At 51.9% G+C, this 13234-nt stretch overlaps 1 protein-coding gene across 1 annotated transcript in view, besides 10 other annotated features; it reads right to left on the bottom strand.

Annotated features, from left to right (window-relative positions):
- LIMK1 (LIM domain kinase 1) overlaps positions 1 to 3572 on the bottom strand; it is a 38722-nt gene extending 35150 nt beyond the window's left edge. Inside the window, exons 1-2 of the mRNA NM_002314.4 lie at positions 3331 to 3572; positions 1532 to 1628 (exon numbers count right to left, since the gene is read on the bottom strand). Of these exons, the coding sequence (NP_002305.1) occupies positions 1532 to 1628; positions 3331 to 3385 (152 nt within the window). The 5' untranslated portion in view covers positions 3386 to 3572. The remainder of the gene's footprint in view (positions 1 to 1531; positions 1629 to 3330) is intronic.
- Positions 1050 to 1647: an enhancer, noted in NCBI's record as "H3K27ac-H3K4me1 hESC enhancer chr7:73500059-73500656 (GRCh37/hg19 assembly coordinates)". NCBI's record gives its function as "activates a minimal SCP1, AML or CMV promoter by ChIP-STARR-seq in naive and primed H9 embryonic stem cells {active_cell/tissue: H9 hESC(naive and primed)}" and the evidence as "EXISTENCE:reporter gene assay evidence [ECO:0000049][PMID:30033119]".
- Positions 1648 to 2247: an enhancer, noted in NCBI's record as "H3K27ac-H3K4me1 hESC enhancer chr7:73499459-73500058 (GRCh37/hg19 assembly coordinates)". NCBI's record gives its function as "activates a minimal SCP1, AML or CMV promoter by ChIP-STARR-seq in naive H9 embryonic stem cells {active_cell/tissue: H9 hESC(naive)}" and the evidence as "EXISTENCE:reporter gene assay evidence [ECO:0000049][PMID:30033119]".
- Positions 2759 to 3028: an enhancer, noted in NCBI's record as "active region_26136". NCBI's record gives its function as "activates an Ori minimal core promoter by ATAC-STARR-seq in GM12878 lymphoblastoid cells {active_cell/tissue: GM12878}" and the evidence as "EXISTENCE:reporter gene assay evidence [ECO:0000049][PMID:35858748]".
- Positions 3219 to 3268: a silencer, noted in NCBI's record as "silent region_18272". NCBI's record gives its function as "represses an Ori minimal core promoter by ATAC-STARR-seq in GM12878 lymphoblastoid cells {active_cell/tissue: GM12878}" and the evidence as "EXISTENCE:reporter gene assay evidence [ECO:0000049][PMID:35858748]".
- Positions 3379 to 3428: a silencer, noted in NCBI's record as "silent region_18271". NCBI's record gives its function as "represses an Ori minimal core promoter by ATAC-STARR-seq in GM12878 lymphoblastoid cells {active_cell/tissue: GM12878}" and the evidence as "EXISTENCE:reporter gene assay evidence [ECO:0000049][PMID:35858748]".
- Positions 3515 to 4193: an enhancer, noted in NCBI's record as "H3K4me1 hESC enhancer chr7:73497513-73498191 (GRCh37/hg19 assembly coordinates)". NCBI's record gives its function as "activates a minimal SCP1, AML or CMV promoter by ChIP-STARR-seq in naive and primed H9 embryonic stem cells {active_cell/tissue: H9 hESC(naive and primed)}" and the evidence as "EXISTENCE:reporter gene assay evidence [ECO:0000049][PMID:30033119]".
- Positions 3515 to 4198: a biological region, named in NCBI's record as "H3K4me1 hESC enhancer GRCh37_chr7:73497513-73498191".
- Positions 3549 to 3818: a silencer, noted in NCBI's record as "silent region_18270". NCBI's record gives its function as "represses an Ori minimal core promoter by ATAC-STARR-seq in GM12878 lymphoblastoid cells {active_cell/tissue: GM12878}" and the evidence as "EXISTENCE:reporter gene assay evidence [ECO:0000049][PMID:35858748]".
- Positions 4089 to 4198: an enhancer, noted in NCBI's record as "active region_26135". NCBI's record gives its function as "activates an Ori minimal core promoter by ATAC-STARR-seq in GM12878 lymphoblastoid cells {active_cell/tissue: GM12878}" and the evidence as "EXISTENCE:reporter gene assay evidence [ECO:0000049][PMID:35858748]".
- Positions 4194 to 4872: an enhancer, noted in NCBI's record as "H3K4me1 hESC enhancer chr7:73496834-73497512 (GRCh37/hg19 assembly coordinates)". NCBI's record gives its function as "activates a minimal SCP1, AML or CMV promoter by ChIP-STARR-seq in naive and primed H9 embryonic stem cells {active_cell/tissue: H9 hESC(naive and primed)}" and the evidence as "EXISTENCE:reporter gene assay evidence [ECO:0000049][PMID:30033119]".

The following is a 13234-nucleotide window of genomic DNA, read 5'->3' as shown; positions in this document are numbered from 1 at the left end:
CTAGAGTGCAGTGGTGCGATCATAGCTCACTGCAGCCTCCACCTCCCAGGCTCAAGTAACCCTGCCACCTCAGCCTCTTGAGTAGCTGGGACTACAGGCATGCGCCACCACGCCCGGCTAATTTTTTGTATTTTCAGTGGAGACAGGGTGTTGCCATATTGCCCAGGCTTGTCTCGAACTCCTGAACTCAAGTGATCTGCCCACCTCAGCCCCAAAAAGTGATGGGATTATAGGTGTGAGCCACCACGCCCCACCTCCACTCTACTTTTCTACCCAGGAAATCTCACATCCTTTGAGACCCCTGCTCTGGCCCTGCTCTGGCTCAAGGCAGGTAGACCCCTGCTCCTGGCTTCTCAGGATGGTCCTACTGGGTGACCTTCAGGTCCTCATGTACTCTTTATCCTCCGCCACAACCCTGACCCTACTTTCTTCCTACCTGTGGGTGTGTGTCTGGACACTGGGGCTGGTGTGACTGGGTTATGCATGTTCGCAAGCAGCCTGGAAGACACTGAGGGTGGCCTGGTTTCCCTTAAGGCCTGGTTTGTCTTCCCTCCCTGCAAGAGCATGAACACCCAGAAGGCAGGAGGGACATTCCTTCCAACTCTTCCCCCTGTCTGGGTGCCAGCAGGGGGCTGAATTGCAGGCACTGGCTCAATTGGAGGTCTCTCCCATCCTCTCTAAGATTTAGATCTCAGAGATCTAGGATGACAACAGAGGCCAAGGCGTTAGCTCACGCCTGTAAGCCTAGCACTTTCGGAGGCCAAGGCAGGAGGATTGCTTGAGGTCACAAGTTCAAGACCAGCCTGGGTCTCAATAGTGAGACCCTGTCTTTACACAAAATTTAAAAAATTAGCTGAGCATTGTGGTGTATACCTATAATCCCAGCTACTCGGGAGGCTGAAGTAGGAGGATCACTTTAGCCCGGGAGATGGAGGTTGCAATGAGCCGAGATGGCACCACTGCACTCCAGCCTGGGCAACAGAGCAAGACCATTTCGAAAAAAGAAAAATACATAAAAGAAAATAAAATGAGGCCAGGAGCGGTGGTTTATGTCTGTCATCCCAGCACTTTGGGAGGCTGAGGTGGGAAGATCACTTGAGGTCAGAAGTTTCAGACCAGCCTGGCTAACATGGCAAAACCCGTCTCTACTAAAAATACAAAAATTAGCTGGGCGTGGTGGTGCACGCCTGTAATCCCAGCTACTCCAGAGGCTGACACAGGAGAACTGCGTGAGCCCAGGAGGAAGAGGTTGCAATGAGCCAAGATCGCACCACTGTACTCCAGCCTGGGTGACAGAGCGAGACTCCGTCTCAAAAAGAAAAAAAAATAGATAAATAAAATGACAACAGGAAGGCCTGTAGGGATTTTCTAGTCAAAACACCTCATGTCATAAATGGTAAATTAAGGCCACGAAGTCACAATAGGGGACGGCACCAGGAGGCATATCCCGGCCTCCCCCATTCCTTGACCAGCCTGTCCTCTCTGGCAGGCCTTGTTTAGGGCAACACAGGCCCTGGGCACCCCACCCTACCTGAAGCAGTCTGCGTGCCAGTCCGCGTTCAGGGCCTGGAGGTACTGGCCATCATAGATCCTCTGGCCGCAGCTTGCACACACGGGCAACTCGCTTCCTGCAGGGTGGGAAGGGAGTTGGGAAGCATTCTCAGGAAGTGTGATCTGGTGCAGGCCCAGCTTGCCCTGCCCACCCCACATATACCTACACCTGCACCAATCCTCGCACACTGCACATGTGCAGCGCCCAGGCAGGGCAGTCGCTGTGCCAAATAGGAGAAGAAAGGGCGCTGGCCTGAGTCTTGCTGAGATACTGACTAGGTTGCCAAGCTTCTCTGGCCCTGTTTCCCTATGTATCAGCTTAGGAGGAGGATCAGGTCCATCCTCCCGCTATAGCATTGGATCTGGCAAGGTAAATGAGGAGAAAGGAAGCAGTGGCTTTAGGGATAAGGCAGTGGGTGACATTCCTATCACAGCCTCCTTTCTTCCCTCTCCTGCCCAGGAAGAAGTACTAAGAGGGCCCTTCAAAGGCAGGGACTGGACAGGGCTGGATTAGTGCATCCTGGGCTGAAGCCAGCTGGGAGGTCAAGGGCAGGAAGCCTGGAGGTGCCGGCCCTAACAGATCCTTGGCAATGAATGCCCTGGCTTGGCAAGGGGAGGGGGCTGCAGACCTGGGTACTCCCAGACACCTGTCCCAGGGAGGCCTGGCACCTCCTCTAGCCAGCCACAGGCATGCTTAGTCATCCTTGGGGCCTGGCACCCTTGGAGCTGGTGGGCCCTGGAAAATGCCCCAGACCTGCCCCTCTCCACTGTACAGAAGGGGAGACTGAGCCCCAGAGATGGCATGGCTTGCCCAGTCACATAGCTAGGTCCCAAGGCCACAACAGCCTGACCCTCTGTGAAGACGCAGGTACCTTAGGTAGGCAGGGGCTACAGGAAGGTGGGCCCCTACCCCAATCAGGTTTTCATGGGCCTGGGAAGAGTTGGTGGCAGGGGGAGGTGTGGAGTCAGGCCCTGCCTTGGGGCCAGGTGGATCTAAGTGACAGGTCAGCGAAGGAGATCCAAGGAGGGGCCCCCAGACCCTGTCCTAGGCTGGGGGAGTCCTTGAACCCTAACTGCAGTGCAGTACTGCGCCTTGGGCCCCAGTGAGGGAGAAGGGGCTAAAGAGGAGGTTAGGATGAGTCATGCTCCCAGCCAAGACTGAGGGCAGGCACCGGGTTTGGGGCACGGACAGGGAGAGTGGATGAGGCTCCCGCAGTACACGGCCTCCGGCTTCCTGGACGCCTATCTCCGCTCTACCCATCTGGCCCCCAATCACCGACACCGGGGGGGCAACTACCCAGTTTCCAAATGTACAGAAGGGGAAACTGAGGACCAGGAAGTCAGCGCCTGGCTCAAGGTCACAGAGCCGGGCAGGCGCCCGGCGGCCACTGGGACCCGGGGCTGCGGCTTCCCCAGCCGCTCTTTCTTCCGAGACTGGATAAAGGGTGGCCCCAGGGCGAGGCCCGGGTGGTGGACAGAGCACGCGGATGGAGGCCGACGCGGGGTGGGCAGTGTCTGGGAGTCCTTCGCGGGGGGACGTGGGAGGAGGAAAAAGGGTCCAGGGGCCCCCAGACCCGCAGGAGGGCAGCTCGCCGGGGGCCGGGGAGGGGGATCCCGGGCGGGAGGGGGACAGGGAGGGGCCTGCGGGCTTCGTAAGGACGAGCTCATCCCGGAGGAGGCAGGGGCGCGGCCTCCTGGCAGACCCGGCCCCCTCCCGTGCCCCACGCTGCCCCGGGCACCCCCTCCAGGCCCTCGCCCCACACCCCGCGGCCCGCGCACCTTCCTCTCCCATACGTTCTTCCCTCCAGGTGCAACAAAGTAGCGTCAACCTCATGCACTCGACGGGGGGCGGGGCCCGGCGGGGCTGGGGCTGGGGGCGGCCGGGCCCGCGAGCTCGCCCACCGCCGCCGGCCCGGGGAGGCGGGGGCGGAGGGCGCGGGCCGGGCCGGGCCGGGCCGGGGGCGCCTCTCGGACACCGGCGGGGAAACCGGCTCGGCGCCGCGGCGGCTTGGGGAGCGAGCGGAGGGGCGGACCGAGGCGGGGCCTGTGAGCTGCGGCACGGGGGCGGGGCGCGGGCGGCCGGCGGCGGGAACGGCCCTGCGCGGCCCCGCCCCCACCAGAAAACCCCGCCCCCACGCCCAAGGCCACGCCTCTAGAGGCCACGCCCCGCTGCGGCCCGGCCTGGGGGCGCCGCGAGCTGGCGCGGCGCGCCCCGCCCCTCCCCGCCCCTTCCGCCCTTCATTCATTCTTCTTTCTCCCAGCGACAGGCCTCGGCTGGGAGCTGCGAGGCCCAGCTGTCTCGGAGGGCCGCTAGCTCTGCTGGGGCAGGCCAGGAGGATGTAGGAGCCTAGAGAAGGGGCCTCCGCTTCCCTGCGCGAGGCCCCCACAGACCCAAACCAGCTGCAGCCGGGAACTCGGATCAGAGCTGGAGAGGCCCTGTGGACCCCCAGGACACTGGTGGTCGCCTTGGGGAGGGGAGGGAGGCGGGCCGGGTTTTGTCCCTCTCTCTGAGGCCTGCATTGAGGCCAGGCTGGGCCCGGGGAAGGTGACGGTCCGCGTCTCAGGCCTCGCGAATGAGCAGCACCAGAGAAAGGAGCGAGCCCCTGCCAGGCGGTGACAGGTGTACTCTTCTCAGTGCCGATTACCTGGAGCTGGGGCTGCCCTGCCCAGGGTCCTGGAGGGAGCACGGGTTTGGGCTGAGTCAAGCGTCCAAAGGAATTGGGTGGTCCAGTCCAGCACTGATGGTGGAACGCCCTGCCTAGATGTGGACAATTCTAGAATGCTGGACATGGGCAGGAAGCAACCCTGTCCCCCCTAGGTCTACCTTCCACGTCATCCCTCTGCCCAGGAAGCAGTGACCGGAGTGGAGCCACGTGCCCACGTGAACCCAGTGAACAAGAGGCAGCGCTAGCCCAGCTCCAACTCTAGTCATCATGTTTGTGGGGAGAGGTCTAGGCACGTCTGCAAAGTGGGGGGCACTCACCCCTGGGTGCAAAACAATTACGTGGGGTGGGAAGAAAATACTAGATTTTTTTTTTCTTTTTTTAGATTCGGTCTCGCTCTGTTGCCTAGGCTGGAGTGCAGTGGCGGGATCTCGGCTCACCGCAGTCTCCACCTCCCAGGTTCAAGCAATTCTCCCACCTTAGCCTCCCGAGTAGCTGATATTACAGGCGTGCACCACCATGACCGACTAATTTTTGTATTTTTAGTAGAGATGAGGTTTCACCATGTTGACCAGGCTGGTCCTGAACTCCTGACCTCAGGTGATCCACCCTCCTCGGCTTCCCAAAGTGCTGGGATTACAGGTGTGAGCCACCACGCCTGGCCAGAATTTTTAATTTCTCATGAGAAAGAAGGCTGGGCACAGTGGCTCACACCTATAATCCCAGCACTTTGGGAGGCCAAGGTGGGAGCATCACGTGGGGCCAGGAATTGGAGATCAGCTTAAGCAATGAAGTGAAACCCTGTCTCTTCTAACTTTTTTTTTTTTTGAAATGGAGTTTCACTCTTGTTGCCCAGGCTGGAGTGCAATGGTGCGATCTCAGCTCACAGCAACCTCCACCTCCCGGGTTCAAGCCATTCTCCTGCCTCAGCCTCTGGAATAGCTGGGATTATAGGCATGCACCACCATACCTGGCTAATTTTGTATTTTTAATAGAGACGGGGTTTCTCCATGTTGGTCAGGCTGGTCTCGAATTCTGGACCTCAGGTGATCCACCCACCTTGGCCTCCCAAAGTGCTGGGATTACAGGCGTGAGCCACCGCGCCCAGACTTTTTTTTTTTTTTTTAATTAGCCAGGCATGGTGGCTCATGCCTGTAGTTAGTTACTTGGGAGGCTGAGGTGGGAGGATACTTGACCTCAGGAGGTTGAGGCTGCAGTGAGCTATGATTGCACCATTGCACTCTAGCCTGGGTGACAGAGACCCTGTCAAAAAAGATAGGGAGGGAAAAAAAGGGGAAGGAAAGAGAGGGGAATGAGAGCCTTGTAACTTGGCTGTAGGGCATATACCAGGCAGGACCCTGGCTGGAAACAGAAAGTGCCACTTAGTGGGGCTAACTGGGGAGAGTTTGATAAAGGGGATGTTTGCAATGCACTGGGGAGGGGGGATTAAAGGAGATCAGTAAGGACTGGCACAGTTGGAGGGGTGGCAGCAGTTACCAGCCCAGGGTAAGGGGGCATAGAGGGGGTCCCTGGAGGAGAGGCCTGCCTGAGAGGAGCTGTGCAAGAGGGGTCCCCAGTTCTGGGGGACTCATGGGGAAGAGGGCCCAGAAGGGCTATTCTGATCTGACTCCCCTGCTCTTCTTATTCTTCCATTGCCTCCCGTTAACCAATCCCGTCTGGATGCAGCGGGCAGGGCCATGTTGATGCTGTGCCCACAGTGCAGGGCAGAGAAGTGCATAGTGGCCTGGAGGGGCTGTGAGCCTGAGCCAGCTTGGTTGAGTGATGTTATCCAGTTTTGACTAAATTAACCCTCACAGAATGGACTCATAGTTGAAAACAATTCCTGCAAAGAAAGCACAGATTGGGCCTGGCGTGGTGGCTCACACCTGTAATCCCAGCACTTTGAGAGGCTGAGGCGGGTGGATCGTGAGGTCAGGAGATCGAGACCATCCTGGCCAACATGGTGAAACCCCGTCTCTACTAAAAATACAAAAATTAGCTGGGCATGGTGGTACGTGCCTGCAATCCCAGCTACTTGGGAGGCTGAGGCAGGAAAATCGCTTGAACCAGGGAGTTGGAGGTTGCGGTGAGCCGAGATTGCGCCACTGCACCCCAGCCTGGTGACAGAGCAAGACTCCATCTCAAAAAAAAAAAAAGAAAGCACAGATTGAAGATGATGCAGACTGGGTGCAGTGGCTTATACCTGTAATCCCAGCACTTTGGGAGGCTGAACTGGGAGGATCGCTTGAGGTCAGGAGTTCAAGACCAGCCTGGGCAACATAGTGAGACCCCCTCACATCTCTTCGGAAAAAAAAAAATTATCTGGGAGTGGTGGTGTGCACCTGTAGTCACAGCTACTCAGGAGGCTGAGACGGGAGGATCGCTTGAGTCCAGGATTTGGAGGCTCTAGTGAGCTCTGATCATGCCATTGTACAGCCTGTCTCAAACAAATAAACAAAAAAAAAAAAAAAGAAGATGCTAACACACCCAGATGAGCGAAAAGATGGAGCTGGCACTTCCACACCTTGTAGGAGCTCCTTGTCAGCCACAGTTCCAGGTGAAACATCAGATCTGACATATTCAGTTACATTGCTCATGCAAGATTTTTTTTGCTGAAAGCAAAAAGGATTTTTGCTTTTTATTTATATTTATTTATTTATTTATTTATTTTGAGATGGAGGTTTGCTCTTCTTTCCCAGGCTGGAGTGCAGTGGCACGATCCCAGCTCATTGCAATCTCCACCTCCTGGGTTCAAGCAATTCTCCTGCCTCAGCCTCCCAAGTAGCTGGGATTACAGGTGTGCACCACCATGCCTGGCTAATTTTTTGTATTTTTAGTAGAGATGGGGTTTCACCAGGTTGGCCAGACTGGTCTCGAACTCCTGACCTCAGGCGATTCGCCCACCTAGGCCTCCCAAAGTGCTGGGATTATAGATGTGAGCCATCTCGCCTGGCTGCAAAAAGGATTTTTGGACTTTTTTTTTTTTTTTTTTTTAAGAGAGACAGGGTCTCACTCTGTCACACAGGGTGGAATGCAGTGGCACGATCGTAGCTCACTGCAGCCTCAAACTCCTGAGCTCAAGTGATCCTCCCACCTCAGACTTCTAGGTAGGTGGACCCACAGGCACACACGCCACGTCTGGCTAATTTTTATCTTTTGTAGAGATGGGGGGGGGTCTTACCATGTTGCCCAGGCTAGTCTCGAACTCCTGTGCTCAATTGATCCTTTCCACTTTGTGTTCCCAAAGTGCTGGGATTATAGGCATGAGCCACTGAGTCCGGCCTGATAAAAGTTTTTTGTTTTGTTTTTGTTTTTTTGAGATGGAGTCTCGCCCTGTTGCCCAAGCTGGACTGCAGTGGCGCTAACTCGGCTCACTGCAACCTCTGCCTCCTGGATTCAAGTGATTCTCCTGCCTCAGCCTCCCGAGTAGCTGGGATTACAGGTGCCTGCCACCACGCCTGGCTAATTTTTGTATTTTTAGTAGAGATAGGGTTTCACCATGTTGGCCAGGCTGGTCTTGAACTCCTGACCTCAAGTGATCATCCCACCTCGGCCTCTTAAAGTGCTGGGATTACAGTGTGAGTCACCACTCCCGGCCAATAAAAGTTTTTTCTATGAGGAGTTGAGCGCCCCATGGGAATGGCTTACTCACTCTAGAGGTTAGAATTGCCCAGTTGCAAATTTGTGCCTGGCTGGACACAAGCCAGTGACAAGCAGGAGGCTCCTTGGGGATGCTGCTGTAACGTGAGCCCAAGGCTGTTGTTGAAGGCAGGGCCAGAGCCTGAGCTGTCCTAGCATGCAAAGCAGGCTGGCGTCATGGGATCCCTGCTGTCAGACCCTGCCTGCTCACATCTCGCCCACTCTGCGTGAGCTCACTCAGATGCATGGCTTGGTGACTCCTCTGACCTCTCCTCGAACTGCAGACACAAGAACCCGAATGTCTATTTGGGATCTCCACTTGGATGGCAAATGGGACCTCATACTTAATGTGTCCAGGTCAGAGCTCATAATTTGTGCCCGGATAGTTCCTCCCCAGGTGTTTCTTATCTCAGTAAATGACACCACCATCATCCAGTAATTTAGTTTAAACTCACAGACATTTTTTTTTTTTGAGACAAGATCTTCCTCTATCACCCAGGCTGGTGGGCAGTGGCACGATCAAAGCTCACTGCAGCCTTGACCTCCCAGGCTCAAGCGATCCTCCCATCTCAGCCTCCCTAGCTGCTGGAACTACAGGTGTACTATATGGCATGACTGCTCCCATTCCCTCTCTTGACTCCCTGCCTCTGATCCATTGGCAAATCCTATTGGCTCTATATGTAAAATACATCCAGAATTCCAGCACTTCTCCCTCCTTCTTGGCCTAGTTAGGTATTTAGAGCAACAGCCTCCCAAGTCATGTCCCTATGCCCTGTCATCCTGCAGAGCCTCTGAACATGTGTGACATTCCTTTGCTTTCTAACCCTAAGGTCCCTGCTTCTGCGCTTATGGGACCTAGCCTCTGGCTACTACTTTGCCCTTATTTTTATTCTCCTGTCAGTTTTGTTAAAATCATGATGGTCAGTCATGGTAGCTCACACCTGTAATCCCAGCCATTTGAGAGGCCAAGGCAGGAGGATCCCTTGAGGCCAGAAATTTGAAACCAGCCTGGGCAACATAGCGAGACCTCATCTCTAAAAAAAAAAAAAATTAGCCAGGTATGGTGGCACGTGACTGTAGTCCTAGCTACTTGGGAGGCTGAGGCAGGAGGATTGCTTGAGACCAAGTCTTGCTCTGTCGCCCAGGCTGGAGAGCAATGGTGCAATCTCGGCTCACTCCAACTTCTGCCTCCTGGGTTCAAGCAATTCTCCTGCCTCAGCCTCCTGAGTAGCTGGGATTACAGGCGCATGCTATCACACCCGGCTAATTTTTGTATTTTTAGTAGAAACGGGGTTTCACCATATTGGCCAGGTTGGTCTTGAACTCCTGACCTCAGGTGATCCACCCGCCTCGGCCTTCCAAAGTGCTGGGATTACAGGCGTGAGCCACCGCGCCTGGCCCCTTTCTCTAATTAAAAAGAAGAAAAATCGTGGTGCACCTCTCTGCTGTTCTAACTTCCCAAGTACGTGGTTGTTACAGGGCTTTTGACTTGAGGCCAGGTCCATTAACCATCCTAAGTTAGGGTGATAACATTCCTTGTAACTCTCCTCCCGGGCTTTTTATCTTCATAGCACCGATTTACCTGGCATTAGAGTTATTACTTATTCACTGTACTATATCAGTTTCCCCTGGCTGCTATGACAAATTACCAGAAACTTGGTGGCTGAAAACAAGACATTTATTTTCTCACAGTTCTGGAGGCCAGAAGTCTGAAATCAGATTGTTGGAAATCAATCCTGAAATCAATCTGCTGTGTCTTCTTTCAGGCATTTTATAGTTTTGGGTCTTACATTTAGTTATTTAATCTGAGTTATTTTTTGTATATGGTGTAAGATAAGGATCGAACTTTTTTTTTTTTTTTTGAGACAGGGTCTTGCTCTGTTGCCCATGGAGTGCAGTGGCATGATCTCAGCTCACCACAACCTCCGCCTCCCAGGTTCGAGCAATTCTCCTGCCTCAGCCTCCCAAGTAGCTAGGCTTACAGGTGCATGCCACCAGGCCCGGCTAATTTTTGTATTTTTAGTAGAGACGGGGTTTCACCATGTTGGACAGGCTGGTCTCAAACTTGTGATCTCAGGTGATCCACCCGCCTCAGCCTCCCAAAATGCTGGGATTACAGGTGTGATCCACCGTGCCCGGCCCCCAGACTTTATTCTGAGACAGGGTCTCGCTCTGTCACCCAGGCTGGAGGGCAGTGGCATGATCTCAGCTCACTGCAACCTCTGCCTCCCTGGTTCAAGTGATTCTCCTGCCTCAGCCTCCTGAGTAGCTGGGATTACAGGCACCCACCACCATGCCCAGCTAATTTTTGTGTTTTTAGTAGAGATGGGGTTTCACCATATTGGCCAGGCTGGTTTCGAATTCCTGATCTTGTGATTTGCCTGCCTCGGCCTCCCAAAGTGCTGGGATTACAGGCATGAGCCACCGTGCCCGGCCACTTTATTCTTTTGTATGTGGATATCCAGTTTTCCCAATAAAATTTGGCTTTTTTGTTATGTTTTTTGTTTTTTTAAAGAGAGATGGGATCTGTCTATGTTGCTCAGGGCGGTCTCGAACTCCTGGGCTCAAACAATCCTCCCACTTTGGCCTCCCAGAAGTGTGAGGATTACAGGCATGAGCCACTGTGTCTGGCCACTAACATTGCTTGTTGAAGAGACTATTCTTTCCCCACCGAATGGTCTTAGCATCTTGTCAAATATCATTTAATCATATACACGAGGCTTTATTAATATTTCTGAGCCATTATAAATATTCTGTTCTGTTGGTCTGTTTGTCTGTCATTATGCCAGTATCACACTGTTTGGGTTACTGTAACTTTGTAATACGTTTTGGCATCACAAAGTGTGAGTCCTCCAACTTTGTTCTTCTTTCTCAAAATTGTTTTGGCTATTTGGAGTCCCTTGAGATTTCACATGAGGTTTAAGATGAAATTTTCTGTTTCTGCAAAAAATACCATTGGGACTTTGATGGCAATTGTGTTGAAACCGTAGATTGTTTTGAGTACTACAGGCCTCTTAACAATTAAGTCTTACCATCCATGAACATGGATGTAAATTTTTATATTTACCTGTGTCTTCTTTAATTTAATTCAGCAGTGTTTTACAGTTTTCAGTGTACAAATCTTTCACTTCCTTGGTTAGGTTTATTTCTAGTATTTTATTCTTTTTGATGCTATTATAAATGGAATTGTTTCCTTTTTTTCTTTTGAGTCTTGCTCTGTCCCCCAGGCTGGAGTGCAGTGGCACGATCTTGGCTCACTGCAAGCTCCGCCTCCCGGGTTCACGCCATTCTCCTGCCTCAGCCTCACGAGTAGCTGGGACTACAGGTGCCCGCCACCACGCCCGGCTAATTTTTTTTGTATTTTTAGTAGAGATGGGTTTTCACCGTGTTAGCCAGGATGGTCTCAATCTCCTGACCTCGTGATCCGCCCGCCTCGGCCTCCCAAAGTGCTGGGATTACAGGCGTGAGCCACCGCGCCCGGCCTGGAATTGTTTTCTTAATTTCCTTTTTAGATTGTTCATTGTGAGGATGTGGAAACACAACTAATTTTGTGGGCATGTTCGATCTTTAGGAGTTTTTACATATAAGAGTCTGTTATTTGTGAACAGAGATAATTTTACTTCTTTCTTCTCAATTTGGATATCTTTAATTTCTTTTTTTTTTTTTTTTTTTGCCTAGTTGTTCTGACTAGGACTTCCAATACTATGCTGAATAGAAGTGATAGGAGTAGGCATCCTTGTCTTATTCCTAATCTTAGAGGAAAAGCTTTAAGTCCTTTTTATTTTTTTCGAGACAGGGTGTCACTCTGTTTTCCAGGCTAGAGTGCAGTGGCATGATCATGGCTCACTGCAGCCTCAACCTCCCAGTCTCAAGCAATTCTCCTGCCTCAGCCTCCTGAACAGCTGGGACTACAGGCATGTGCCACTATGCCCGGCTTATTTTTATATTTTCTTGTAGAGACAGGGCTTCGCTATGTTGCCCAGGCTGGTCTCGAACTTCTGGGCTCAAGAGATCTGCCTGCCTCAGCCTCCCAAAGTGCTGGGATTACAGGTGTGAGCCACCACTCAAGCCCAGTCTTTCACCATTAAGTATGATGTTAGCTGTGGGCTTTCATCTGTAGCCTTTATTAGGTTGAAGTGGTTTGCTTCTATTCCTAGTCTGTTGAATGTTTTTATCATGAAAGTTTATTGGATCTTGCTGCTTTTTCTGCTGCAATTGAGATGATCATGTAATTGTCTTTCATTCTGTTTATATGTTATATTTCACTGATTGATTTTCATATGTTGAAACATCCTAACATTTCAGGAAAAATTCCACTTGGTTATGGTGTATAATCCTTTTAATCTGCTATTGAATTTGGTTCGCTTGTATTTTGTTGAAGATTTTTGCATCAATGTTCATAAAGGATATTGGCCTATAGTTTGCTTTTCTTGTGTCTTTGGTATTAGAATAATGCTGGCCTCTTAGAAGGAGATTGGAAGTGTTCCCTCTACTTCAGTTTTCTGGAAGAGTTTCAGGAGGATTGGTGTTAATTTTTTAAATGTTTGTTAGAATTCTCCAGTGAAGCCATCTGGTCCTGGGTTTTTCTCTGTTGGGAGACTTTTTATTACTGATTTAATCTCCTTACTCACTATTGGTCTATGCTGATTTTCTATTTCTTCATGATTCAGTCTTGGCAGGCTGTGGCTTTCTAGGAACTTATCCATTTTATCTAGATTTTCCAATTTTTTTTTTCCTCAGATAGGGTCTTACTCTGTCACCCAGATTGGAGTGCAGTGGCACAATCATAGCTCACTGCAGCCTTGACCTCCTGGCTTAAGTGATCCTCCTGCTTTGGCCTCCCAAAGTGTTGGGATGATAGGTGTGAGCCATTGTGCCCAGCCCCAGCTTCTCATAAGAATACCTATGTAGCATTTAGGGCCCAGCAGGATAATCTCCCTATCTCTCAAGATCCTTGACTTAATCACAACTACAAAGACCCTTTTTCCATGAGGTAACTCTTAGGGGTGGAACTGTGTCTCCTCAAAATTTATATCTTGAAGCATTTACTCCAATACTGCAGAATATGACTGTATTTGGAGATAGGGTCTTTAAAAAAATTTTTTTTCTGTTTTTTGAGACAGTCTTGCTCTGTTGCCCAGGCTGGAGTGCAGTGGCGCAATCTTGGCTCACTGCAACCTCTGCCTCCTGGGTTCAAGCGATTCACCTGCCTCAGTCCCCAGAGTAGCTGGGATTACAAGCATGCACCACCACACCCAGCTAATTTTTGTTGTTGTTGTTGGGGTTTTGCCATGTTAGCCAGGCTGGTCTTGAACTCCTGACCTCAAGTGATCTGCCTGCCTCGGCCTCCCAAAGTGCTGGGATTACAAGCATGAGCCACT

The sequence above is a fragment of the Homo sapiens genome, chromosome 7 (genome assembly GCF_000001405.40).
Source record: "Homo sapiens chromosome 7, GRCh38.p14 Primary Assembly".
NCBI classification, from domain to species: domain Eukaryota; kingdom Metazoa; phylum Chordata; class Mammalia; order Primates; family Hominidae; genus Homo; species Homo sapiens.
Note: the sequence above shows the minus strand (reverse complement) of the source record. Positions and strands in the feature narration are given on the sequence as shown.